Here is a 26,695-nt window from a genome sequence, read left to right on the forward strand (position 1 = left end):
GGCGAGGCGAGGCACTTCTGTCAGCTTCCCCTTAGAAGGGTTCATTTTAAAAGACTAACTTTGTGACATAAATCATATTTTTAGTTTGTTTATAACTGTCATTGATATTTACTATTTTTTTCTTTTCTTTTTCCCCTTCCTTGCTCTTCTGACTGGTCTCTGGCTTCCTCCAAAGGGATGTGCGTAAGTATCGTCTAGTTACTTATTGGTATTTGAGCCTTCTAACTTGTAGGACTGGTTTCACTCGACTCGTTTCCTTTTGACTCTATAGTGTTGTTGAATTCAAGATGGAAGAGAGCATGAAAAAAGCTGCGGAAGTCCTAAACAAGCATAGTCTGAGCGGAAGACCACTGAAAGTCAAAGAAGTAAGCTCTTGCTTAACACTGCGGATACTGTGTGTAATTGTTGAGTGATCCTACTTTGGAATTAGGGAAAGACGGTCATGGTCCCAGACGGCATTTACAAAGCAAGTGCCAGCCTGTTGTTTCTAATGAAGAGTGTCGGTCATAGCCTACAGCAGCCATTCCCTGCAAGGACTTTGGGGTGGTGGCCAAGCAGATCCTGAGTGGCTGCTGACCACCTTCTAATATCTGTGATTTGTCTGAGGCCTTGTTGTCTCAGGGACTCTCAAACCATGAGCCCGTGGGTTTGTGCCATTAAGTTTTACTCCATCTGACCCTTCTTCTTGGCCCATCTTTTTTCTTTTTTTAAAAAGTGAGTTTGTTCCAGCCTGGGCAACATGGTGAAACCCCCTCTCTACAAAAGGTACAAAAATTAGCCAGGCATGGTGGCGCATGCCTGTAGTCCTAGCTACTTGGGAGGCTGAGGCAGGAGGATCATTTGAGCCCAGGATGTGGAGGTTGCAGTGAGCTGAGATTGCACCATTGCACTCCAGCCCGGGCAACAGTGAGACCCTGTCTAAAAAATAAAAAAATAAAGTGAGTTTGTTATTCCTCAAACCTGCTTTCACATCTCATCTGAATCAAATATATTCCTTGAGGAAGAAGGTTTTTTTGTTGATTAAATCCCTCTTGGCTGGGCGCAGTGGCTCACGCCTGTAATCCCCAGCACTTTGGGAGGCTGAGGTGGGTGGATCAAGGTCATGAGTTCAAGACCAGCTTGACCAACATGGTGAAACCCTGTCTACTAAAAATACAAAAAATTAGCTGGGCGTAGTGGGGGGTGCCTGTAATCCATCTACTCGGGAGGCTGAGGCAGGAGAATCGCTGGAACCCAGGAGGCGGAGGTTGCAGTGAGCCGAGATCGCGCCATTGAACTCCAGCCTGGGCAGTAAGAGCAAAGCTCTGTCTCAAAAAAACATCCCTCTTAACTTCTTTTCACCTCTTCTCTTGGGGAGGAAGATGAGTAGATTCAGAGTGAAGCTTGGTAGGGTCTAAGGTCTCTCATGTGTTATGATGTCTTTTTTAGTGCTGATGGTGGTAATTGACAGGACAGAGAGTTGAAGAAGAGAGTCAGTACAGAGCTTCACAGACCTTCCCAGATGTTGTTTTACTGCGCAGCCCTCACACACACGCCTCCAACACCTGAAGGACTTGAAGGATGGGGGCGCTTGTGTGGTCTAGAACTGTTTCTCAAACTTCTGGAAGCCATTGACGGGGTTTGCAGAAGTTACAAAACCCCATTGATGAATTAGTAAGATTCAGCTATACCAAGCCCATGAAGCTCTAATTTCAGTCTGGCGGTTCTACATTATATCAGCTAATCATGTTTCCCTCCCTACCCTGCTTTTCTTTTTTACTTAGTGCAATTGAGAGCTGTGTTTTTAGTGCTACACTTCATGCCTTTTCTTCCTTTCCTATTTCTTTAGCTGGACTCTTCTAAGCTGGTAGTTGAGTTCATTTGACTTTCTTGTTAATAGATTTGAGAGATGCTTTCCAAACAACCTTTCAGTTTCTAAGTCTTGAGAATATCATTTACTGTGCAAGCATGGTTTGCGTTGTACTGGGTCAGTTAAACGTAACACCTTTTGTGCTTGTTTTAGGATCCTGATGGTGAACATGCCAGGAGAGCAATGCAAAAGGTGATGGCTACGACTGGTGGGATGGGTATGGGACCAGGTGGCCCAGGAATGATTACTATCCCACCCAGTATCCTAAATAATCCCAACATCCCAAATGAGATTATCCATGCATTACAGGCTGGAAGACTTGGAAGCACAGTATTTGTAGCAAATGTAAGTAAACAGAACCATCGTCTAAAGTAGAAAATCAGAACTTTATGAAATGACCTTGTCAATATGTTATAAAAGTAATTCTCACATTTGAGAAGAAAAATGTAAAGAAGGGTTTTGTTCTTGATTTCTTTAAAAATCAGCCTTATAGGCGGGCTTTGTCTGCATTCCTAAGTCACAGGCTTGACCGTGGTCTCGTTGGGGCTGTGATTCCTGAGTTTCGCAGGTGTTTCCGCAAGCAGTAACCGAGTCTGCATTCTCCGTTGGTTTATTTTATGCAGTTTTGGTGCAGAGTAAGACTGTACGAGCAGAAGTGCACTGACACCTTCCTCTTGTTGTGTCTGGGGTGAATGATAATACCTCCACCATCTGCAAGGGGAAATATTTTTAGAATAAAGTAGGTTGGGTGGGGTGGGGAGTGGTAAAGCTTATCAGGGAAACAATTTTTTAAAAATGTTCAGAAAATGAGTATTAATTTGAAGTATGAGGTGACTTAAGTTTCTGAGAAAAGAGACAATATATTTACTATAGGTACAGTTTATTTACAGTGAAGGCCAGGCTTTATAATCCTATTTTAAAATTTCCATTGCAGTTGATTAGTTTTTGTGACATTATTTCCTAATACTTTTTTCCAACCAAAGCATGTATCATTCATGTAGTAAAAATGTTGTGTTTCTTAAGATGTTTACATTGAGGTTTTTACCCCGTTCTCTCTCGATTAGCTGGATTATAAAGTTGGCTGGAAGAAACTGAAGGAAGTATTTAGTATGGCTGGTGTGGTGGTCCGAGCAGACATTCTTGAAGATAAAGATGGAAAAAGTCGTGGAATAGGCACTGTTACTTTTGAACAGTCCATTGAAGCTGTGCAAGCTATATGTATCCTTCTGCAGGAATTCAACTTATGAACAGTTTGACCTAAATTGCTGTGTTAGTAATGTAGGTTTGTGTGAGGAAGAGGTGACTGTGTGTATTCATGTTTTTTATGTGACTAGGGGGAGTGCATTACTGTGGAATTAAGAGGTTCTCTGGGCCGGACCGGTCACGGTGGCTCACGCCTGTAATCCCAGCACTTCGGGAGGCCAAGGCGGGCGGATCACTTGAGGTCAGTTCGAGACCAGCCTGGCCAACATGGTGAAACCCCGGCTCTACTAAAAAATGCAAAAATTAGCTGGGCGCAGTGGTGGGTGCCTGTAATCCCAGCTACTCGGGAGGCTGAGGCACAAGAATCGCTTGAACCCGGGAGGTGGAGGTTGCAGTGAGCCGAGATTGCGCCACTGCACACCACCAGCCTGGGTGATAGAGTGAGACTCAGTCTCAAAAAAAAAAAAAAAAAAAAAAAAGGTTCTCTGGGGGTGGAATTGATTCAATACAGTGTGGATAGAGGGGATGGTTACAACATGGGCATATGCCCATGAGTCTTTCTACTGTTTTCTTTTCAGAAGAGTCTAGGTTTGAAGGAGGAAGTCCAAAGAATGTGCTACTAGAGAGAAAGTGGGGTTGTTGTTTCATGTGTAATACATCCTTATAGGACCTCACTCTTTCCAGTGAGTAGACATCATTTTGGAAGAGGCCACTTCTCCTTGACCCTAGGCTTAGCCTAGAGTTTTTAATCCCTTGGAGAGTACCCCACAGGAGCACATTCATACAACTCAGACAAGACCGTCACTGCATGTCTTACCCAGAAAACATGGTCCTTCAGTTTAGATAGTGGTAGATGCCTGGCCCATTGGTCACATTCAGAGAACCTTGATGCCACTGCTTAAGAGGATGGTTTGGTGAAATTGTAAGGTTACGAATGAAGCTTCACACCTAAGGAATAAGCGGAAGTTGTCTTGTCCTCCCCGCCAGCTTTATTTATTGTTCCTTTTATGTTTATTGTTGAAAGTATAATGAAGAATTGAAATTGCTCATAAATTCATCACTTAGAGGGACTGGTAGCAGTTGGAGTATTTTTCTTTCTTTTTGTATTTCTCTTGTGCACATTTTTAGAATTGCAAGAAATAGCCTTAATTGTAATACCAGCTATGTTCAATGGCCAGCTGCTATTTGATAGACCAATGCACGTCAAGATGGTAAGTCAGTAGGATCTTTCTCTGTGATATACTCAAGTCTAGCAAAAACATGGAATTAATAAGAGTGTACATATAGCCACTATGAAATATTTGTGGATTAGTCTAAGTTAAATAGGGTGCAGTATGTTGAGCAAAATTGTGAGAGAAATAACATTTTGCTGGTCAGGCGTGGTGGTTCACGCCTGTAATCCCAGCACTTTGGGAGTCTGAGGCAGGCGGATCATGAGGTCAGCAGTTCGACACCAGCCTGACCAACGTGGTGGAACTCCTCCGTCTCTACTAAAAATACAAAAATTAGCCGGGCGTGGTGGCACGCGCCTGTAGTCCAGCTACTCGGGAGGCTGAGGCAGGAGAATCACTTGAACGTGGGAGGCAGAGGCTGCAGTGAGCCGAGATCGTGCCACTGCACTCCAGCCTGGGCAACAGAGTGAGACTCTGTCTCAAGAAAAAAAAAGAAGAAAAAAAAACATTTTGCTCATGGCAGCTCTTGACTGCATTAGATATTTTTCCTTTTGCACAGTTGACTGTTCATGGCGCATTCAGGAAGTCACCTGGGTATCCTGGTTGAGCAAGTGATCCGTTTCAAAGAATGGTTATATATGTGGGGTTCCAGTTTTTCAAAGTATTACAGTATAATGTTTGGTTAGCATCAAATCTGTTGTGAACATAATTAAGTCATTGATTCAGACAGCTTTTAAAGGTCTGTTGGAGCACTTCAATCTTAATAAACATTTGCTCTGCCGTAACTGTGCCAAAGATAATAATTACTACAGGCATGACTGGAACATGCTGAGGGCAGTCTAGTTGGGACTCAAATTCAGGAAAAAGATAAACTATAAAGCAATTTTTTCATTACTCTAAATAGAGTAGGTAAGTTTTTTGAATAGATGATAGATTCACGTGACTCAAAAGTCAAAAGGCATGAAAAGGTAGTGTGAAGATAGTGTGAGTCCTACTTGGACTTCTTGCCCAGGTCCCCATCATCCCCCACAATAATATCCATGTGTCTTTTCCCTTGACATAAAATAGGAAGCATGCTCCGCATGCCTTTCTACCCTTGCGTATTACTCCATGGCGTGGATAATGTGTTTAGCTGGTCCTCTCTTGATGGGGGGCCATTTCAGTCTTTTGCTGTTGCAAACACTGCTGCACTGGATACTGAGATTTGTTTGTTTTCTTTCTCTTTCAGGATGAGAGGGCCTTACCAAAAGGAGATTTCTTCCCTCCTGAGCGTCCACAACAACTTCCCCGTAAGTGTTTCAGTGATTAGGGCTGAGAGTTTGAATTGGAGTTACACTAATAAACAGAAAATTACCATATGGTTTCACTTGAACCTGTGCCAGGTTAGCCCTCAGTTCTCTTGGCCAGTTCTTTTCTATAGATTTTTCAGGGTGAGAAATGAGCAGAGATTCACAACTTGAGGATATTGTTAGGATTACCTCATGGTAATCCTAGGATTGTAATACCAGGATGTAGAGGATGTGGTTAGGCATTTTGAAAGTGTCCTGGGGAAGGAAGAATCAGAACCTGTGAAGGGAATGAAAACCAGGCTGCACTCTAATTCAGAAGATACTGGTTAGTCCCATGTGGGCTAGCAGTGCACACTAGACATCTGCACAGAAATTCGCACGCAGATGTTTGCAGCAGGATGAAAGACACATGCTGCAGTGTGGATGAACCTCGATTTCATCTACAGGAAATGCTCCGCATAGATAAATGCATAAAGGCAGAAAGTAGATTAGTGGTTGCCTGAGGCCGGGAAGGAGTAAGTAGGGACGGGACTGCTAATAAGGTTGGATTTCTTTTTTGGGTGATGAAAATGTTCTGGAATTAAATGGTAGTGATAGTTGCATATCTCTGAATATACTAAAAACCACCGAATACTTTGAGTTTTATGGTATGTGAAGTGTCTTGAACAAATAATTTGTATGCAGAGGGGAAAGGGATCAGCTATTTGTGACACCCAGGTGAAAATCTGTCTCGTGACAGGGAAGGCTAGTTGATGGGCTACCACATAGGTAGAAGTGGCAAATATTAGTGCAGAGTCATAGATAAGCCAGAGGCTGGAAGCAAGAACCTCAGTGCATACAGCGGTGGGACGACTCAGGGAATCACTGGCGCAGGTAAAGCTCTCCTGGAGAAGAAAGATGGATGAGGGTGAGAGGCCTGTGTGTGCTGTGCTGGGGTGACCTCCACCAGGCGGGTTGAGGGGGCCTGGTCTGGAGCAGCAGCTCAAGCTCAGGGCCCTACTCACTGAGTTGGATGGGAGCCCAGGCCAGAGCACCTTTGCAGCGTAGCATTATGGCAGCATGACAGATGTATCTTGAAGGGAAATCTGTGGCTTCATGAGAAGGCTCATCTGTTGAAAGGCAACATTAGTTAGAGAAGGATTGCATTTCCTGGACATAACATACTCATTTCCCAAATAAATTGTCAGTGTGCTCACCTGAGCAGTGGTCACCCTGGACCATGGCGATGGCTCTTGTTGACTCTTGTGCTGGAGCAGGAGGAGGAGCACACTGCTCCAGGGAGCCTGTTATCCATGGCTCTTGGTCTCCCGGCCATTTCGGAGGCTTGACTTCAAAGCCTTCAGTGCTTTGGGAGAGTAAGTCACCGTGGCGATCTCTTGCTGCTGTTGCTATGCAATTAAAGATGGAATGTTCATCAGATGAAACGCCTGGGAAGTGGTGGCAGGTTTTATTTACTTTTTAAATGAACTTTGTTTGCTTTCTTTCCTTCCTTTCTTCCTTTTTCTTTCTTTTTGATGGAGTCTCGCTCTGTCGCCCAGGCTGGAGTGCAGTGGTGCGGTCTTGGCTTGCTGCAACCTCCATTTCCTGGGTTCTAGTGATTCTCCTGTCAGCCTTCCAAGTAGCAGCGATTACAGGCATGTGCCACCATGCCAGGCTAATTTTTTTTTTTTTTTAGTAGAGATGGGGTTTTGCCATGTTGGCCAGGATGGTCTCGAACTCCTGACCTCACGTGATCCACCCGCCTTGGCCTCCCAAAGTGCTGGGATTTCAGGCGTGAGCCACTGCGCCTGCCCTTGTTACGATTTTTAAAAGCTTACCTGGTTGTAGTTTAAGCCTCAGATGGTGGTTACCCCAGATATTGCAAGTGTCAGCTCTTTTGGCTGTTTCCAGAGACCAGCCTGTATTTCTGTGTCCCTGTCTGTGTTGGTAGGGCATGGAGTTGAGTGTGGGCTGGGTATCCAGTTGTGGGTTGGGAAGCTTTGGGGGAAGGAAGATAGGTTCTTTGAATACATACATTAGCTTCATTGTTACTAAAACCACCCAGATTCAGAGAGTAGTGGACACCCAGGATGTTGATTGGCTGGTTTGTAACGTGTTTTTTCATGAGAAACATCCTTTGGGCTACTAGGGATTGGGCACATTTGTGCTGCTTGCCACCTGATGTCTTGAGTCACCTTTTTTGATCAGACAGTTCTCAGTCCATGGGTTAGTGAAACAAATAGGCTCTCAAGAATCTTAGTGTGGGGGTTGTTAACTTTCCCGTGTTGGTTTTCAGCCGCCTTTGTTGTATACACACATATCCCAAACGCCGGAACAAGGCTCTGTTTCCAAGTGTGCCGATGTTGAATTTTGCATTGGGCCCTGAGGTCACTGGTGGGTGGGGGTGGGTAGGCTGAAGTGGATAGCTGCAACTCACTAAACACTCTTTTCCTTTGAGGGTCAAGGTTTGCTAAATAGGGGAAAACTAAGCTTCTTTCTCTTTTCTTTCCAGATGGCCTTGGTGGTATTGGCATGGGGTTAGGACCAGGAGGGCAACCCATTGATGCCAATCACCTGAATAAAGGCATCGGAATGGGAAACATAGGTCCCGCAGGTGAGAATGACAGTGCACCTTGCTTGGTGGTTTGGGGAAGTGAAAATTATTAATTATTGGGACAACTGGACTTTGAGTAGTTTAAATGGAATAAATATTTAACTGGGACAAAATTCCCTCCTTATTCATCTCTGCCTCATTTTGAATAAAGGCAGTATTTTGTATTTTTATCAAGTTGAGTCATTTTTTAAAAAGTCATTATGCTTTTTCATTGTAACCTGACAACAACCTTCTAAGCTGAAATAGTTGTGCCATTTGATAAGAGGAGGCAAGCCAGAGAGTTGATCTTGCTCAAGGTCACACTGTCAGTTACTGACAGGCTGCAGGTCTCCTGACCACGGGACCATAGCACTGCCGCAGTGCCCTGAAAAGTGTCTTACCAAGACCCCTTTGGGCCCTCCTGGTGTTTGCACAGCTGCTGCTAGAGAGCTAGGGGCATTGATAGATGCAAAAAAGGTGGAGAGGCCAGGCACGGTGGCTCACGCCTGTAATCCCAGCACTTTGGGAGGCCGAGGTGGGCGGATCACAAGGTCAGGAGTTTGAGACCATCCTGGCCAACATGGTGAAACCCCATCTCTACTAAAAATAAAACAATTAGCCGGGCGTGGTGGCGCACGCCTGTAATCCCAGTTACTCAAGAGGCTGAGGCAGGAGAATTGCTTGAACCCGGGAGGCGGAGGTTGCAGTGAGCTGAGATCACATGACTGCACTTCAGCCTGGCAACAGAGCGAGAGTCCGTCTCCAGAAAAAAAAAAAAAAAAAAAACCTGCATGAAAGCTTTGATGTGTAGAATAAACTCAGGCTTTGCTGTTTAGCATTTTCATTGCTGTGTAATGATGTATTTTGATTCTATTAAGGAATATGTCATTTTTATGACCTTAGACTTTGGTCTTTGTTGGAATCCTTTGAAATTGGAATATGGAAGCCCCTCTATCCCACCATTGTCAGTGTTGCATATCCCTAGACTCTCTTCCAGAGTCACCCTGGGGCTGACTTAAATTCTGGGCCACAACTTCAAATGGCTGTTAACGTTTCCCCCGACCCAAAACACACACACCCCATGTCTGACATCTAAACAGAAAGACTGGGGGTTGGGGAGGAAGTCTTGGTGTTTTTAGGAACTGGTTTTTATTTTGAAGATTTTACCTTTAACAGGGATTGATTTATTGAGACGGAATTTTGCTCTTGTTGCCCAGGCTGGAGTGCAGTGGCTCAATCTCAGCTTACCGCACTCAATCTCTGCCTCCTGGGTTCAAGTGATTCTCCTGCCTCAGCCTCCCAAGTAGCTGGGATTACAGGCATGTGCCACCACACCCAGCTAATTTTTTGTATTTAGTAGAGACAGGGTTTCACCATGTTGGTCAGGCCGGGCTGGAACTCCTGACCTCAGGTGATCCACCCGCCTCGGCTTCCTGAAGTGCTGGGATTACAGGCGTGAGTCACCACGCCCACCCTTAACAGGGATTCTTAAAAAAAATCTACTTCTGTTCCCTAAAATTTTCTAAAAAGTTTATGTTCCATAGAATGTGTCTTATAATTCTATTTCATGTTTAATACTGCCTAACTTGAGGCCTGGTGTGGTGGCTTATGCCTGTAATCCCAGCAATTTGGAGGCCGAGGGTTTGAGACTAGTCTAGGCGACATAGACTCCATCTCTACAAAATATAAAAAAAATCAGCCAGGTGTGGTGGCGTAGTCCCAGCTACTTGGGAGGCTGAGGCAAGAGGATCACTTGAGCCTGGGATGTTGAGGCTGTAGGGAGCTGTGACCATGCCACTGCATTCCAGCCCCAGTGACAGAAGGAGACCCTGTCTCAAAAACAAAAAAAACACAAAAACCCTGCCCGACTGGGTCATTAAAGTATGTAGATCCCTCAGAAAAAGATTAGCCAGGCGTGGTAGCAGGCGCCTGTAATCTCAGCTAGTCGGGAGGCTGAGGCAGGAGAATTGCTTGAACCCGGGAGGTGGAGGTTGCAGTGAGCCAAGATTGTGCCATTGCATTCCAGCCTGGGTGACAGAGCAATACTGTGTTTAAAAAAAAAAAAAATAGCTATATGATATTTGACAGTTGAAATGGTAAGGGCTTTTTTTCTTGCTGATTAAAATATATAAAATATACTTGTCATCAGGGATTTTCTTTTGAGTTCTTTTGCTGGTTTGGAATTATGCTTTTTAAGTTCAAACGTTATTTACTGCTTTGACATAATTTTAGTTTGCATTGACTTTTTCTTTTTAAGGAATGGGAATGGAAGGCATAGGATTTGGAATAAATAAAATGGGAGGTAAGAAATTTAAAATGAAGTACAAGCATAATCACTTTTAGGCATAGTTTTCTCTCTTTCCTCTTTTCTTTCTTGTTTAAACCCTGCATGAAATTCTCTTTGGTTTCAGTTTGAGTCTAGAAATGACTTCCTCCTGCCTGTCCATCCTTCCAGCGGGTGTCTTGGCTTTTGGTTCTGGCTGTCTCACTAACTAGCTCTGTGACCTTGGGCAGACCACTCCATCTCTATGCCTCTTTTTGCTTGTCTATTCATTGAGGGGGTTGGATCAGACCAGCTTTTTGAAGATGGGTGATTTTTAAACAAGGGTGCTAGCATTTTTTTTGTTTTTCAAAAGCCTTTAAACTTGGTAAGTTCTTGGCAGAAGATACCCCAGTTGAAACATGTGATAGAATTTTTCTTTCCCTGCTTAGTCTAAGCAGTCTTGTTGGATGATGCTGAAATGTGAACCTCTCTTGCAGGAATGGAGGGGCCCTTTGGTGGTGGTATGGAAAACATGGGTCGATTTGGATCTGGGATGAACATGGGCAGGATAAATGGTAAGCATCGTGTTTTCTTCCTGCTTTCACTCACCCTTTGCCGGCTGTTGCCTCTCAGGTGACTTTTAGGCTGCAGACCCACTGAATAAGTGGTTTCTCACTTCTGCTTTTCAACCGAATCAAATGTCTTTTGAATTGCCTTAAATATTTCAAAAACTAGACATAATAGTAGACTTACTTCACTTGGTCGCTAGTCTTTTGAGATGTCCTGTGTTCCCAAGCTCTGCAGTAATTTTCGAGTACAGTGTTAAAAAGCATGTACACGTTCGTGGTTATGGTCTCCGAGTATGAGGGATTCTTTAAAGTTTGTAATCAAGTTTGTCTCTGGGAGTGCTGCAAAGGGTTGTTCTTGGTCATCTGCCCCAGCTACAAGTTGTCTATAGAGGCGTTAATAAAAATCACAGGCTCTTTTAATTTAGCATTTACATAATGCAAATTCTGGTTTAGTATAATTCAAATCCTCCACCAACTTTTTTTTTTTTTTTTTTGAGACAGGGTCTCACTCTGTCACCTAGGCTGGAGTGCAATGGTGCGATCTTGGCTCACTGCAACCTCCGCCTCCCAGGTTCAAGTGATTCTCCTGCCCCAGCCTCCTGAGTAGCTGGTATTACAGGTGTGTGCCACCATGCCTGGATAATTTTTATATGTTTAGTAGAGTCGGAGTTTCACCATGTTGGCCAGGCTGGCCTCGAACTCCTGACTTCATGTGATCCGCCCGCCTCAGCCTCCCAAAGTGCTGGGATTACAGGCGTGAGCCACCGTGCTCGGCACCTGCCCCCAACTTTTTAGCAGAAATATAATAATATAATAACAATGTAGTATTTCATTTAGTCCTTGTGAGAACCACATGATATGTACATACTGCTATCCTTGTTTCATCTGAAACTGAGGCACAGAGAGTGACATGCCTAGGTCAAGTGACTGGTAAACAGTGGTGCCTGCATGTGAACCCAGGCTGTCTGGCTCCAGAGCCTGGCACTTCATCATGTGGGAATCCTGCCTTTTAGAAGTGCCTCCAGCACAGCACTTGGCCCAGGGCACCAGCAGGGCTGTAGAGTGTGCATGAGAAATTGTAAATTTTCCTTTTTGAAATCCTTTATGTGTTGGTGACTCTTTGACCTTCCCCTTCACTGCAGGAAAGCTGCTGCTTTTTTACACAGAAACTTTCTTGGACTGAGAAGTCATTAGGGATTTAGGTATAAACCTTCCTTTGCGGGTCTGCCATAACAAAGGATGTGAAAATGGTACAAGGACAGACATCATTGTCAGGCTTGAAAGGCGGCTGTCCCTGATGATCAGGCCCTTCTTCCGGTGCACAGGGAGCAGTGGGGCATGATGTGTGTTGCCCTCTTCATGGGTGCCTTGTTCTAGAAGCTGGTAAAAGGATGTAGGAAAGTTGTCACCATTAGTAATAAAGCAACAGAGGTCTGCGTTTCCAGTGTACATTCAAGCTTGCCTGTAACTTGTGTGTGCATGGGATTTTAATTTTTAAAAAAAGTTTCAGAAATCTGGCTTGGTAAAATGTTACTCAGAGCAGATTAGTCTGGGTGTGCTGGCTCACGCCTGTAATCCCAACACTTTGGGAGGCTGGGGTAAGAGGATTGCTTGAGCTCAGGAGTTCAAGATCAGCCTAGGCAACACTGCGAAACCCCATCTCTCTCTTTTTTTTTTTTTTTTTTTTTTTTAAGAACAGATTAGTCATTAGGGAATTTGAGTTGTTGCTGTGAGGAGTAGAGTGATGCAGTTTAGAAGTAGATGGAAATCAGGATGGGTTGGCCTGGGAGCTGTGCTGAGCCGTGTGACACAGTCGATGGTGAACTGGCAGGTGTAATCTCGCAGTCAGGATTCAGAGCCTGGGGTACGCGGTGGCAAAGGATTCCAAGTGCTGATTCTCTGGAGAACCACAAATGGAGTGTGTTTTCCTAGACTGTTCTTAGATGTTCTGAGATACGGCACTCGGAGTGCTCCCCACACCCTCTACAGCTGAGAACAGGGACTCCTTCCCACTTGACCAGCATTCTTTGGTTTGGGTGGGATGAGCTCTAGAGCCCTTGGGCACTGCAAGGAAACTGTACATCACACTGGAGGAAGAATTGAAGCAGACGTTTGGGTTTAATGAAATGTTAATTCATGACTAGAGTGTAGCCATTATGGTCATGGGTGCTCCCATCAGACTGCTGGTCATGCAGGTTCCCAGGACCCACACTCAGCATGAGTCAAATCTTGATAGAGTGGCTATAAAAATGTAAATCAAAAGATTGTTAAATGTCGGCCAGGCGCGGTGGCTCACACCTGTAATCCCAGCGCATTGAGATTAATGTTAAAAAAAAAAAAAGAGAGATTGTTAAATGTCAAAAACTGACTGTAGTGAGGCAGTGTTTGACAGTGAAAATGCTACCCTTTGTGGGTGTAAATTGGAGTTCACGGTGCTCCCTGAGCTCTGGGGCCCTGTTGACAGCCAGTAAGATGAGTTATGAGGTCCTTGCCAACATGCTGATGCCAGCCTGTGGCATGCTTGTCTGGAGTGGGGTGCTGCCTTCTTGCAGACAGGTGGCAGGATGGAAGGAGAGCAGCAGAACTCCATGAGGATGCCGCTGCGGGGCTGCAGGGTTCTGTCCCTGCCGCCGTCCCCCCCACCCTCCCACCACCACCGACTCCTGGGCTCTGCTATCCAGCAGATAGCACCCATGAGGAGCATGCTGACCCATGAGGTCACTTGGGTTAATTCAAACTAGGAATGTTAAGCCCACCATTGGCAGCCAGTCCTTGTTAATTCATAATGTGCTGCTGCTGCCACATCTCTAATGGAATTGCTTATTTTATTGAAAGATAGGGACTCTGGCTGTATAATGCAAGGTGTTCATTACATCGCACCTATCTTACCTGACATTTCTAAGGAGTGAGATGATTAATAACTAGATTCTTCAAGGCCCTCTCAGCATGGGAGGGAGAGATTCTTCAAGGACCTCGCAGCATGAAAAGTGTGATCCCCATTTCAGCCTGCGTGAGATGGATGCACAAGGAAAGAAGTGGCCAGCAGTAGGAATCACGAAAGGCTTATCAAGCAAGTGACCACTGTGGTGGGCCTTTCCCGGCAGAAGCTAGGACCTTTGTTTTAAAAGACATTGTAAGGCTGGGTGTAGTGGCTCACACCTGTTATCCCAACACTTTGGGAGGCTGAGGCAGGAGGATCACTTGAGCTCAGGAGTTCAAGACCAGCCAGGGCAACATAGTGAGACCTCCTCTCTACAAAAAATAAAATTAGCCGGGCATGATGCCGTACACCTGTGCTAGCTGCCTGGGAAACTCAGGTGGGAGGATGACTTGAGCCCAGGAGGTCGAGGCTGCAGTGAAGCATGATCACGCCACTGCATTCCAGCTTGGGAGCTTGGGTTGACAGAGTGAAACCCTGTCTCAAAAAAAAAAAAAAAAAAAAAAAAAAAAAAAAAGAACCTTACAAAATATGAGAAAGTTGTGACCCAAACCCCGTTATGTAGATGCAGCCACTGCAGTTGTCAGCAGAGAGGTCTTTCTGTGCAGACATACGTCTCGCCATGCACACGCATTTCTGTGTTAGGGCACAGGCTTCTGTATTAGAGGATGGGCTTCTGCACTGGATTTGAGTCCCAGCCTTTGCCTCACCTCTCACCAGCATGTGACCTTGGTCAAGTTACTAAATTGTGTGAGCCTCAATTTCTTTTTAAAGTGGTAGTGGTGGTGGAGGGTAACAGGCGTGCGTGGCATGGTTGTGAAGAGTTGATGGAATTATACACAAAGCCTTTGGGGTAGGGCATGTGTTGAGTGCCTAGTAGGTGTTACCTTCTGCAGCCTACGTTTGATTTAGCTGCACTGCAGGGGACCTCTTGGTTACTGTGGTAGCGAATGCTTGGTGTACCCAGTATTGTGGTTTGTGTGGCTGTAATGGAAGTTGTTCATTGGTCCTTGATGGACTTATGTTAGGTAGGTTGTTCAGGGATTCAGTTGCAGTGACTTTGTTTTTTAGGGAATGAAGAATGAATAATGGTTTCCTGCAGAAGAGTTAAACATGCTGACTTGGTGGTGGCTGTCGTGTGTATACATTTTGTTTTGTTTTTGATGTCTCAGACACAGTGGTATTCCTGGAAAGGCCTAGGGTGATTTTTCCACAGAGATGGAGCGTGGCATGGGTGGAGGACTTGAAAGAGACTTTGCCAGGAAGGAGATGGGGATATCTCGAAGCTTTGGAGAGCCTCTTGGCAGAGGAATGAGTAAGAAGGCCCAGTGGGCCTCAGTGGCTGGGGTCCGCCCTCTGGGGTGCAGGCTGCCAGGGTTTACCTGATGTCCCTGCTCTCTTAGAGTCAGCTGGTTTTTTTTAAGCTTTTAAAAAAGATGTTGTTTTAGACCTAGGTAAAAAATTTAGGTCTTTTAGTGTTTTATTGCTATATCAGTAGCATTATTTGTCTTTAAGTCTTTTCAGATGGCTTTTTAAAAAATTGGCATAAGGTTGTGCAGGCTGTGGGAATGGAAACTGCTGCGTGTACTTGACTTTCTGGCCCCCTAGGCCTGGAGAGTGTTTCATGGCCCTCTGGCTCCCTAGGCCTGGAGCGTGTTTCAAAGCCCTGCTAATTGGGGCAGGAGTTTCCTTACCCCAGGGTGCTGTGGTGTCCAGTCCAGTTAGCAGGATGGAGTGAGTTGTGCACTTGCTGATGCCTTTGACAGAGGCATCTAGACCGACTAGAGAGGTTTTCTAAAGTTGGAAGGTCTTGAGTATTTAGGCCTATCCGTATGCAGAGAAATTATTTTTTCAGTTTTGGTTAGGTGGCAGAGCAATTTCCTCCTCTTTTTTCTTTCTTTCTTTTTTTTTTTTTTTTTTTTTTTTCAAGACAGAGTCTCGCTTTGTTGCCCAGGCTGGAGTGCAATGGTGCGATCTCAGCTCACTGCGGCCTCCACCTCCCGGTTTCAAGTGGTTCTCCTGCTTCAGACTCTTGAGTAGCTGGCACTGCCGCCACCACACCCAGCTAATTTTCTTGTATTTTTAATGAGATAGGGTTTCACTGTGTTGGCCAGGCTGGTCTTGAGTCCTGACCTCAAGTGATCCACCTGCCTCTGCCTCCCAAAGTGCTAGGATTACAGGTGTGAGCCATCACGCCAGGTCTGTTGATGTCCATTTTATGTTAGCTGTATTCTTCAAATTTATGAAGGCCCTAGAAAGGTGGTCATTAGATTCATCCTTCAGCTCATCAGAGGGGCAAGATTCTTTTTTAATACAGTCTCTCCCTGTCATCTGGGCTGGAGTACAGTGGGTATGATCTCACTGTAGCAGGCTGAAGCAATCCTCCTACCTTTGCCTCTGAGTGGCTAGGAACACAGGCACATGCCACCATGCCCAGCTAATTTATTTTTTTGTAGAGACAGAGTGTATGTTGCCCAGGCTTATTACAAATTCCTGGGCTCAAGTGATCCTCCCGCCTTGGCCTCCCAAGGTGCTGGGGTTATAGGCAACAGCCACTATGCCTGGCCAGCGGTGTATTTAAAAAAAAAAAAAAAAATTTTTTTTTTTTTTTTTTTTGCGACAGAGTCTCGCTCTATTGCCCAGGCTGGAGTGCAGTGGCACAATCTTGGCTCACTGAAAGCTCTGCCCCTCCAGGTTTAAGCTGTTCTCTGCCTCAGCCTCCAGAGTAGCTGGGATTACAGGCGCGTGCCCCCATGTCCGGCTAATTTTTTGTATTTTTGTAGAGATGGGGTTTCACCATCTTGGCCAGGCTGGTCTTGAACTCGGGACCTCGTGATTCACACGCCTCGGCCTCCCAAAGTGCTGGGATTACAGGCATGAGCCACCGCACCCGGCCAAAGAAATATTTTAAAACTTACTGGCCGGGCGCGGTGGCTCATGCCTGTATTCCCAGCACTTTGGGAGGCCGAGGCTGGTGAATCACGAGGTTAGGAGTTCAAGACCAGCCTGGCCAATGTGGTGAAACCCCGTCTCTACTAAAAATACAAAAATTAGCCGGGCATGGTGGCGGGTGCCTGTAATCCCAGCTACTTGGGAGGCGGAGGTTGCAGTGAGCCGAGGTCAAACCACTGCACTCCAGCCTGGGTGACAGAGTGAGACTCCATCTCAAAAAAAAAAAAAAAAATTAAAACTTACTGTCATTTGCCTGCAAATACTAATTTGTGGATAGCTATGGCAAGAATAGATGGCATGTGGCTGGGCAGGTGGATTACAAGGTTAGGAGTTTGAGACCAGCCTGGCCAACATGGTGAAACCCCGTCTCTACTACAAACACAAAAAATTTAGCCGGGCGTGGTGGTGCATGCTGTAATCCCAGCTATTCAGGTGGCTGAGGCAGAATTGCTTGAACCTGGGAGGTAGAGGTTGCAGTGAGCCGAGATGACACCACTGCACTCTAGCCTGGGCGACAGAGTGAGACTCTGTCTCAAAATTAAAAAAAAAAAAAAGGCATCTTTACTTCTGTAGGAACTTTTTCTTGCTAAGAGCCTTCAGCTTCTTGCCACTCTGCAGCACCTCTCGCCTAATTCCGCTTTTTGGAGTGGCACATGAGTGGCACAGAGAGGTGGATGTGGGCTTCTTGCCTTTGAGGTCACTTCATGTGGCCACAGGAAACTGTTCCTGTCCTGACCGGCAGGGCGCCACCTCTCCCGCTGCGGTTACACCTTCTTTCTGATTGGGACTGTGCGATCTCTGTCCCGGAATTCCCTCCTGCCGCTGTGATCAGACCTACATGAGTAAGGTGATCTCGTCAGGTTCTCAGAGTGGTTGGGTTGGTTTTTCAAGATTCAATTCTTGACCTCTTTCCCGTGTCCTTTGCCATGAGAGGTGAACCATTGTGGTGCTCCTTTCCATAGTGCTTTCCTACTCGGTGCCCCTTCCTGTGCCTAGGCAGTAGATCTTTGCACTCCTTTGTGCAAACAGCTGTACTTGCTGCTTCAAAAATTTGGATAGGCCTGTGGTCTTTGGCCTTCAAGGATGAGGTGTAGCTGAGGCGATACTAAGGGTGGCTTGGGACATCGCCAGAGGTCTGTGCATCCAAGTGGCCTAGTGAGGACGCTGGTGGAGACGTTGGTTGCCAGATGCTGCTCAGGGCATTGGCTCTGCTAGGGGGCTCAGCAGGCTTGGCACAGGCAGCAGGTGTGCGCAGATAGAGCGGCTGGCGGCGGTGGGTGCAGGTCTCTGTGAGGCAGGGGAGGAGCATGGGCAGAACAGGCTCCAGTTGTGGTCTGTGGGGAGGCCTGTGAATGCCGATGGGAGAATTCCGCCATTCTCTGCAAATCAGTGGCATGTTGGTTGAAAGCTTTTGCAGCTGTCTTGCAGGTGTGTTAGTTGGAAGCTTGATCTAGTTCAGGGGTGTGCACGGGAGAATATAGTCATGGGTTCTCAGTTGGTTTCTGTTTGGGTCAGTAAAGCCCCTTATCCCTCTTTTCCACTTATTACTAGAGACAGAAACTTAAAAACCATGGTTTCAGGCTGCCAAAAAGCCTAAAACAGAACAAAGCAAAGTAAGACGTGTTGGACAAGCTTGGTCTAGGTGCTGGAAAGCCAGCCTCGGCTCAGGCATGCCGGGCAGGATCGCAGGCGTCCCGGGAGAATGAGCTGTACCTGCTGGTAGACTGAAGTCTGTGTCTCTTGGTGAACTTTCCCACCTTGTCCCACAGCAGTTAGTTGGGATATAAGAAGCAGCTGTGTGGGGTGCAGGTGCTTTTGTTGTTGTTGTTGTTTGGTGTCTTTTTTTTTTTTTTTTTTTTTCTTAGAGACAGAGTCTCACTCTTGCCCAGGCTGGGGTGCAGTGGCACGATCTCGGCTCACTGCAACCTCTGCCTCCAGGGTTCAAGCGATTCTCCCGCCTCAGCCTCCTGAGTAACTGGGATTACAGGCACCTGCCATCATACCCGGCTAATTTTTAGTAGAGACGGGGTTTCACCATGTTGGCCAGGCTGATCCTGACCTCAGGTGATCCACCCGCCTTGGCCTCCCAAAGTGCTGGGATTACAGGCATGAGCTACTGCGCGGCCGGGGGACAGGTTTTAATGGCTTTGTGGCCGTGGTCATAAAGCGAAATGTGCCTCGTGGCTAATGTCCAAGTTGCTGAGCATATACTTTGAGACCAGAGCGGGTGGGTACAAGTGTCTTCTACATAGCAAAAGATGGACCAGAAGCTTGGAAAGGTAATGCTATGATAGCATCAGACAAACCTTAAAGAGGTGTGGGTGCACCGTGGGCAAGTGAGCAGCAGCACTGTGTTTGGGATACTTGGTGGGGGGTGCAATTTAGGTATTTTCCTGAAACCTTATCTGTTGCCTAGTCACAGCACACCCAGCTCATTTCAGGCAAGGCTGGCATGCTCAAGGATTTCCGCGCAGAGCTCATTTGTTAGCGTTGAGGTTGTCCGTGGAGCTGCAGCTTTAATTTGCTCTATGATAATGAGAGGTGCCTCTGGGTGGATAAATGTGGGCTCCAAGTGGGTGATGCTGGGCGGTCTTCTGAACAAGAAGTTGGCTGGGGTGGGGGTGGGGGCTTACTTTCCAGCTCAGGGGAGGCAAGGAAGCCTCAGTCCTGAGAGCCTGGACCAGCTTTAGAAAACTGCCGCTGAGCGAGACCCGATGGCCCTCTTCTTGCTCTGGCTCTCAGTTCATGAATGCATATGACTCCTATCTCTGCTGGGCGCATTCGCAGGTGACCCCGCACGCTGGGCCTCAGACTCTGGAGCTACGTGGGGTCTTGGCATCGTGACCCAGCATCAAGGACTCTCCTAGTTCTCTGTAAAATGATCTTGTCTGTGCGTGTGTTTCTCAAACCCCTTTCCCTTTATCTTGTCATTTTTATTAGTAGTATTTCTACTCTGGAATCTGTAATGAGCACATTTCTATTGCCATAGAGGAATTTGGCTAATTTTTTTTTCTTCCTGATTTCCTTAGAAATCCTAAGTAATGCACTGAAGAGAGGAGAGATCATTGCAAAGCAGGGAGGAGGTAGGAACCGCTTAGTTTGATGTTTTGTTTTTTTAGAACAGGCTGTTATCGCTGGGGACTGTAGAGCTTAGTGGTGAGAAGTGCGGGTTCTGACACAGACTGCCCGGGGTGGGAGCAGCTCTGCCTTTTTCTAGCTGTGTGACGTTTGGCAAGTCACTGAACCTCTCTGTTTCTCATAGCACTCATTTGTAAAATGGGGGTGTAATAGTACCTGCCTCAGGGATGCTGTGGAGAGTGAATGCATGTGAAAGAGTGCTTCCGCACGTGCTGTGCACAGGCCGACCATCTTCATTGTTAGAGTACCTCTCTTTTGGGGGTTTTGTTTTCCACATTATAAATTCCTAAAAGTAAATATATTTTCCTTAGACTTGATGATAAGACTGAAAGCACACCACCCAACAAGTAATAAATGCTTGTAAAATAGATAAATGTACTCATTAGGAAAATATGAAGAAAGTATGGTCTGAAACCCCATCGCCCAGTGATGACTGCCGGAAACATTTTGTTCTGAATCTTTCATTCATACACAGCTTTATGGATACTGAGAACAAAATGTACTTTTTGAGCATTTTTGGAGACAGTCTCGCTCTGTCTCCCAGGCTGGAGTGCCGTGGTGCAGTCTCTGCTCACTGCGGCCTCAACTTCCCAGGCCTAAGCGATTCTCCCACTTTAGCCTCCCAAGTAGCTGGGACTACAGGCGTGTGCCACCTGGTTTGGCTAATTTTTTGATTTTTTTTGTAGAGATGGCATTTTGACATGTTACCCAGGCTTATCTCAAACTCCTGGCCTCAAGTGACCTGCATACCTCCAGAGTGCTGGGATGACAGATGTGAGCCACCACACCTGGCCCAAATGTACTTTTTCAGCCTGATTTTCCCTCTGAGTATCTTGGCATCTCACCTCCTGACTTCTGTGTTGGGCTGGCTCTGGAGCTCCACGCTGGTACCATTTCCTCCCATTTCTTTTTTTTTTTTTTTTTTTGAGAGACGGAGTCTCACTCTGTCGCCCAGGCTAGAGTGCAGTGGCACGATCTCGGCTCACTGTGACCTCCGTCTCCTGGGTTCAAGCGATTCTCCTGCCTCAGCCTCCCAAGTAGCTGGGACTACGGGCGCACGCCACCATACCCAGCTAATTTTTGCAATTTTAGTAGAGATGGGGTTTCACCATGTTGGCCAGGCTGGTCGCGAACTCCTGACCTTGTTCCGCCCGCCTTGGCCTCCCAAAGTACTGGGATTACAGGCATGAGCCACCACACCCAGCTGCCCCACCTCATTTCTGATGCCTTTGGGCAAAGTGCCCATTCTCGCTAGGTTCCTTATACTGTGGGGAAGTTCTGAGACGTCTCCCCTCTGAAAGTCACACATTCTTAGAGTCGGGCCTGCTTTGGCCGCTCACTGTGTGCTGTGCAGCTAGAGAAGCAGGCGCGGTGTGGCCAGTTACAGAGCCAGTTAGAGAAACTGCCCAGTTTCCTCTTGAATTGGTATCTTTGACTAGGCTGCTTGGGTCGGTCACAGGCTGGCTCTGGGCTGATGGCCACTCTCAGAGGCAAGCGACAGGGTTTCGGGGAGGAGCCCCAAACTCGGCATGTGGAAAGGGGTGGCCTTGCTGACGGAGCCAGACCCTGCTTTCCAGAGTTGCAAGCACCACGGGTGGGGGCGTCCCTTCGTTCTGCTGACTGACCCCCAGCCGCTACCAGAGCCCACTCTGCAGTGCCATCAACATCTTCTTTCCAAAGCCAGCAAGTCATTTGGTTTCCCTGACAATAGGGTCCCCAAAAGTGGCCAGCTGTGTGCATTTGTACACAGAGGATCTCTCGGTGTGTGTTTTTTTGACCTCTGCTTGATGGTGTGGCCGAAAATCCTTTCTCTGTGCCCTGGGAGCGCTGAGGAAATGCAGCCAGAGTGGCCCCCAGCAGAGCATCCTAGAGGGACAGGCTGGGAGGGGAAGGTGGGAGTGACTCCGACTTGTCTCCACATAACTCCTGTTCATTACCCTGGGTGGCCCCCCGAGTGGGGGGTGTCCATGCCTCCCCCTGGAGCATTTCTCAGTGTCTGCTGATGGAGAAACCTCAGATGTCTCAGGAATTGACGTCCATGGTTCACAAAGCTTGTCACAGACACTAGCACCTCACAGACACACATACAGGGGTGTTCTTTAGAAGTTGTGTTATGGAAATCTCAGCTGTGGCATAGAGCAGAGAGAATGCTGGGAGGCCCCCATGTGCCCACCACACAGCTGTAGCTGTTGTCAACATTTGAGGGGTGTCTTAATGGTAAATTATGGTGGGCCTTTACCCCTGATCCATGCCCATGAGCTGAAGTGGTCTGGCGTGTTGTGCACACGCACACTCAAGTTCTTGACACCCACCTGTGTTTTGTGTCCCTGTTTCAGGTGGAGGTGGAGGAAGCGTCCCTGGGATCGAGAGGATGGGTCCTGGCATTGACCGCCTCGGGGGTGCCGGCATGGAGCGCATGGGCGCGGGCCTGGGCCACGGCATGGATCGCGTGGGCTCCGAGATCGAGCGCATGGGCCTGGTCATGGACCGCATGGGCTCCGTGGAGCGCATGGGCTCCGGCATTGAGCGCATGGGCCCGCTGGGCCTCGACCACATGGCCTCCAGCATTGAGCGCATGGGCCAGACCATGGAGCGCATTGGCTCTGGCGTGGAGCGCATGGGTGCCGGCATGGGCTTCGGCCTTGAGCGCATGGCCGCTCCCATCGACCGTGTGGGCCAGACCATTGAGCGCATGGGCTCTGGCGTGGAGCGCATGGGCCCTGCCATCGAGCGCATGGGCCTGAGCATGGAGCGCATGGTGCCCGCAGGTATGGGAGCTGGCCTGGAGCGCATGGGCCCCGTGATGGATCGCATGGCCACCGGCCTGGAGCGCATGGGCGCCAACAATCTGGAGCGGATGGGCCTGGAGCGCATGGGCGCCAACAGCCTCGAGCGCATGGGCCTGGAGCGCATGGGTGCCAACAGCCTCGAGCGCATGGGCCCTGCCATGGGCCCGGCCCTGGGCGCTGGCATTGAGCGCATGGGCCTGGCCATGGGTGGCGGTGGCGGTGCCAGCTTTGACCGTGCCATCGAGATGGAGCGTGGCAACTTCGGAGGAAGCTTCGCAGGTTCCTTTGGTGGAGCTGGAGGCCATGCTCCTGGGGTGGCCAGGAAGGCCTGCCAGATATTTGTGAGAAATGTAAGTGGCTCTTGGGGAACTTCTTGGTGGTGGTGAGCATGAGGGGACAGGGGAGGCAAAGATCAGCAGGATGAAGTCAGAGGTGGCGCCCTTCAAAGGGGACCACACCTCCTTGCCACTGTCCCAAACGTTTTATGCTAGTGGGACAAGTAAGGAATGTGAGAACTGTGGGTTCTGGAAGAGCCTGGGCTTCTCCACTGTGCTAGAATATGGAGCAGACGCTGAGCTCAGAGACTCCAGTTTCTGATTGGTTGGCTTGAAGAGGCACTATGTGTTGCACGATGGTCCAGGGAAAGAAGTGGCTGTAACGGAATTATTTTCCCCAGCTCAGCCACCCTTAGCCACTATTTAGTGACTGTGGGCTGCGCACCGCAGGCCTGAGTGTCCCATCCTGCACGGTGCTCCCACAGGCAGAGCCCCAGGGAGGGAGCTGGCTGTGCCGCTTCACAGCCTTGTCCCACATGTATCTATTAGTTTCCTGCTGATCGCCTCAGTCTGAAGGGCAGCCAGCTTCTCGGTATAGTGAGAAATCTAGCATGGCCCTCAGAGCCAGCTGCAAGGCATGCCTTAGGATTTGGTTTAATCACGCATCAGTCTCCCTTTTCTTCTCCCCTTCAGCTGCCATTCGATTTCACATGGAAGATGCTAAAGGACAAATTCAACGAGTGCGGTAAGTGTTGGGAACGGCTTTGTAGGTGCTTCCCTCGTGCTTGTTGGTGACGCAGCCGAGTCAGCAGCAAAACCTCCCTCCCAGCCCCCTCCGTCGGCTCAGGACCCATGGCCTTGCCATGTTCTGCCCACGCCAATGCTCAGGCAGGTTGTTGAGTGTCCTGTGATGTGTCACATGTTTTTCAGCTGTGTTCTCATTTCATCCTTACTTCCTTTTTTCTTTTTGAGTCTTTGAAACAAGGTAGTAGTGTCCCCATTTCACAGATGAGTCAGGCAGAGTCTTCCTTCTGAGGTTACCTGGCTTCTAGGTGGCAAGGCTAAATAAATACATCCCAGACGAGGTCGCTTTCCCCTCAGCACAGCTGGTGTGGGGCCTCGGAGAGAACACAGCCCAGCAGGTGCCATGGGGAGGCGGTGCAGGCTCTGGGCACACAGCAGCTCCTGTGAGGGTGAGGCTAAGGTCTTGTGGTTTCCTGGCACATCGGGCAACTCTTCTGGAGGGCTCTGTCTGTGGCTGAAAGCAAGTTGTCTTCCTTCCCTGCCCTCCAGGGTGAGCCCCCACCCCGCATGCACCACCTCTGTTCTTTTTAGCTAGAGGGGCCTGAGCTAGAGGTCTGGGCAGCTGCTTCCGCACTGTCCTCCCGCTTCCTGTTTCAGCAGTGGCTCCGATTTCACCACCATTGCTGCTTCTCCATGGTTCTTGGGGCAAGCCGTTGAGTCATGATCTGCCTCTTTGCTCCATTCTTCACCTCTTTCCCCACTCCTGAGTTCCCATGTTGTAGCTAGATATTCTGAAAAGGCCAGTGGGATCACAGCGCCCCCAGCCCCCACTTTTGCAATGCCTGGAGCGGCCCTGTGCCTTCAAGAGGAAGTCCAGACTCACAAGCCCCTTGAAGACCTGGTCCTATCCTCCTCCATCTCCCTCCTGTCCCAGAACCTGAGCGGCAAGTGCTGCACGTGTCCCGCAATGCTCTCGTGTGAGCCAATTACTGGCAAGTCTTCTTTCTGGTGAATTTCTGTGTAAGCTCACTCAGAACTTGCCCCTGAGGACCCCTCCACCCTACCTGCCCTGGGCCCTCTCTTAGGCACTGAGTTCCCACCTCTGGCATTGTGGCCCTACCACCTTTGGTACTCCTGGAGTAGAGCCTTTGCCCTCTAGGGCTCTGTCCACGGCGTTGACACATATCTGGATGCTTAACGGGTGCTCAAATGAATAAGTGAAACCTGCTGGCTTTCATTTGGACAGTACAGACGTGTCCATTGGATTGCGGATGGCTTTGTAACCAGGGGCGGTGGCATATCAAAAATGAAGACTTTGTAAAATGTATGGGAACTTTCTGCCTATAAAGCTGGCTTTACACTGCGCCTTCTTTTTTGAACTTCCTGAAGCGTAAAGGCGTGCATTGAATCCGCCAGGAAGGCTTTTCATGGGGCAGGGGCAGGCTCTGTTAGCAGAAGAATGGCAGTGTGGCTGAGGGGGCCGTAGTCATTGGTTCTCGCCATTGTATTCTGAGCCTTTGTGCTCTAGGCTTCAGGGCCTCTCCTTTTTGACTCTGTCCACCAAAATCTAACAAAATCGGGACTGAGTGTCGTCTCTTCTTCCCTCCCTGTCCTAGGCCACGTGCTGTACGCCGACATCAAGATGGAGAATGGGAAGTCCAAGGGGTGTGGCGTGGTTAAGTTCGAGTCGCCAGAGGTGGCCGAGAGAGCCTGCCGGATGATGAATGGCATGAAGCTGAGTGGCCGAGAGATTGACGTTCGAATTGATAGAAACGCTTAAGCAGTTGCCTTTTTTAAACATCGATACGAGACCTCTGAATTTGTATTTTTTCTTGTTAACCATTTTAATTTGTTGGCTGGATGTATAAAGATGTTTAAAAAATTCAGTTGCTTTTTGGGGTAATTTGAATTACTTTTTTAATGACTGGGGTTCCATTTGACTGTTTGCATTGAGATTGCAATGTGCGCAATTTTTTTTGTAGTTGTGGCATCTTGTTGACATCGAATATGACTTTGATAATAAATACCGGTTCCTGAAAACGGCCTGCTTGTGTGTGCTGTGTGGGCAACCACGCGAGGTGTGGGGAGCTGGGGTCACTCGAGCTTCCAGTCCAAGCAGCAGGGATCTCATCCCCTCTCTTGCTTGTCTGAGGCCCCAGGGGTGGGTGCCTGCCCACAGATGGGGGGAGACTCTTCCCTGGAAACTGCCTTCCTGTGGGCTGTAATCCCCCGGCTTACAATGGAGCGTTTGGCTGTTTAGAGCCTTCTGAGGCCAGGCGCGGTGGTTCATGGCTGTAGTCCCAGCTACTCAGGAGGCTGAGGCAGGAGAATCACTCGAACCCAGGAGGCGGAGGTTGCAGTGAGTGAGATCGCGCCACTGCACTCCAGCCTGGGCAACAGAGCAAGACTCCGTCTCAAAAAAAAAAAAAAAAAAGCCCCCCGAAAGCCATCCTGTCTCCCTGTTGTGAAGTTAACGCCCTGGGGCACAGGCCCTGCCTGAGTCAGGCTTGTTCTCTGGCTTTTTTTTTTTCCTGCTGAAACAGACCAAACTGTGTGCCACCTTCCATGCGTGTTCAGTCCTGCCAGAGGCTCAGGCCAAATCTGATTGATACCTGGGCTCTGTCAGAATTGGGTATAGGCCCCACCCCTTCCCCCAGTGAAGCGCTCTCAGGATCCACTCAGGCCAAGCAGGTGTGCATACCTGGCAAGGAGGCCTGGCTGCTGCTGTTCTGTTGGCTGTGGAGGGGCGCGTCCTGCCCGGCTGCCTGCCTGGTAGCACATGCTGTTCTGATCACCCGGAGCCCCCCTTGCTCACCAGCTTCTTGCCACCCTTTTCTCCCCACTGGCTTTTATCCCTGAGGGGTGAGACCATGGCAGGGTGACCCCAGACACACCCCCTTTTGTGTTTGGTCAGGGGGTTCCCGTGCCTTTGCTCCACTGTG

The 26,695-nt window shown here is 48.2% G+C and overlaps 1 protein-coding gene across 13 annotated transcripts in view, besides 3 other annotated features; it reads left to right on the top strand.

Moving 5' to 3' along the window:
• The window catches only part of HNRNPM (heterogeneous nuclear ribonucleoprotein M), a 44,140-nt gene extending 18,347 nt beyond the window's left edge, over positions 1-25,793 (top strand). For 2 of the 13 annotated variants that reach the window (NM_005968.5, XM_047438860.1), the window contains 13 exons: positions 176-183; positions 272-365; positions 2,003-2,194; positions 2,914-3,067; positions 4,214-4,263; positions 5,453-5,513; positions 8,005-8,106; positions 10,343-10,387; positions 10,846-10,923; positions 19,837-19,890; positions 22,282-23,084; positions 23,703-23,754; positions 25,370-25,793. In NM_005968.5, coding sequence (NP_005959.2) covers positions 176-183; positions 272-365; positions 2,003-2,194; positions 2,914-3,067; positions 4,214-4,263; positions 5,453-5,513; positions 8,005-8,106; positions 10,343-10,387; positions 10,846-10,923; positions 19,837-19,890; positions 22,282-23,084; positions 23,703-23,754; positions 25,370-25,533 — 1,857 coding nt within the window. In that variant the 3' untranslated portion in view covers positions 25,534-25,793. Of the gene's footprint in view, positions 1-175; positions 184-271; positions 366-2,002; positions 2,195-2,913; positions 3,294-4,180; positions 4,264-5,452; positions 5,514-8,004; positions 8,107-10,342; positions 10,388-10,845; positions 10,924-19,836; positions 19,891-22,281; positions 23,085-23,702; positions 23,755-25,369 lie in introns of those variants that run through there. The other 11 variants (XM_005272478.4, NM_001297418.2, NM_031203.4 and 8 more) reach the window with 10 other exon arrangements.
• Positions 10,431-10,480: a silencer, noted in NCBI's record as "silent region_10026". NCBI's record gives its function as "represses an Ori minimal core promoter by ATAC-STARR-seq in GM12878 lymphoblastoid cells {active_cell/tissue: GM12878}" and the evidence as "EXISTENCE:reporter gene assay evidence [ECO:0000049][PMID:35858748]".
• Positions 23,859-23,948: an enhancer, noted in NCBI's record as "active region_13916". NCBI's record gives its function as "activates an Ori minimal core promoter by ATAC-STARR-seq in GM12878 lymphoblastoid cells {active_cell/tissue: GM12878}" and the evidence as "EXISTENCE:reporter gene assay evidence [ECO:0000049][PMID:35858748]".
• Positions 24,239-24,288: an enhancer, noted in NCBI's record as "active region_13917". NCBI's record gives its function as "activates an Ori minimal core promoter by ATAC-STARR-seq in GM12878 lymphoblastoid cells {active_cell/tissue: GM12878}" and the evidence as "EXISTENCE:reporter gene assay evidence [ECO:0000049][PMID:35858748]".

This window comes from Homo sapiens, chromosome 19 (assembly GCF_000001405.40).
Source record: "Homo sapiens chromosome 19, GRCh38.p14 Primary Assembly".
In the NCBI taxonomy this organism is placed as follows: Eukaryota; Metazoa; Chordata; class Mammalia; order Primates; family Hominidae; genus Homo; species Homo sapiens.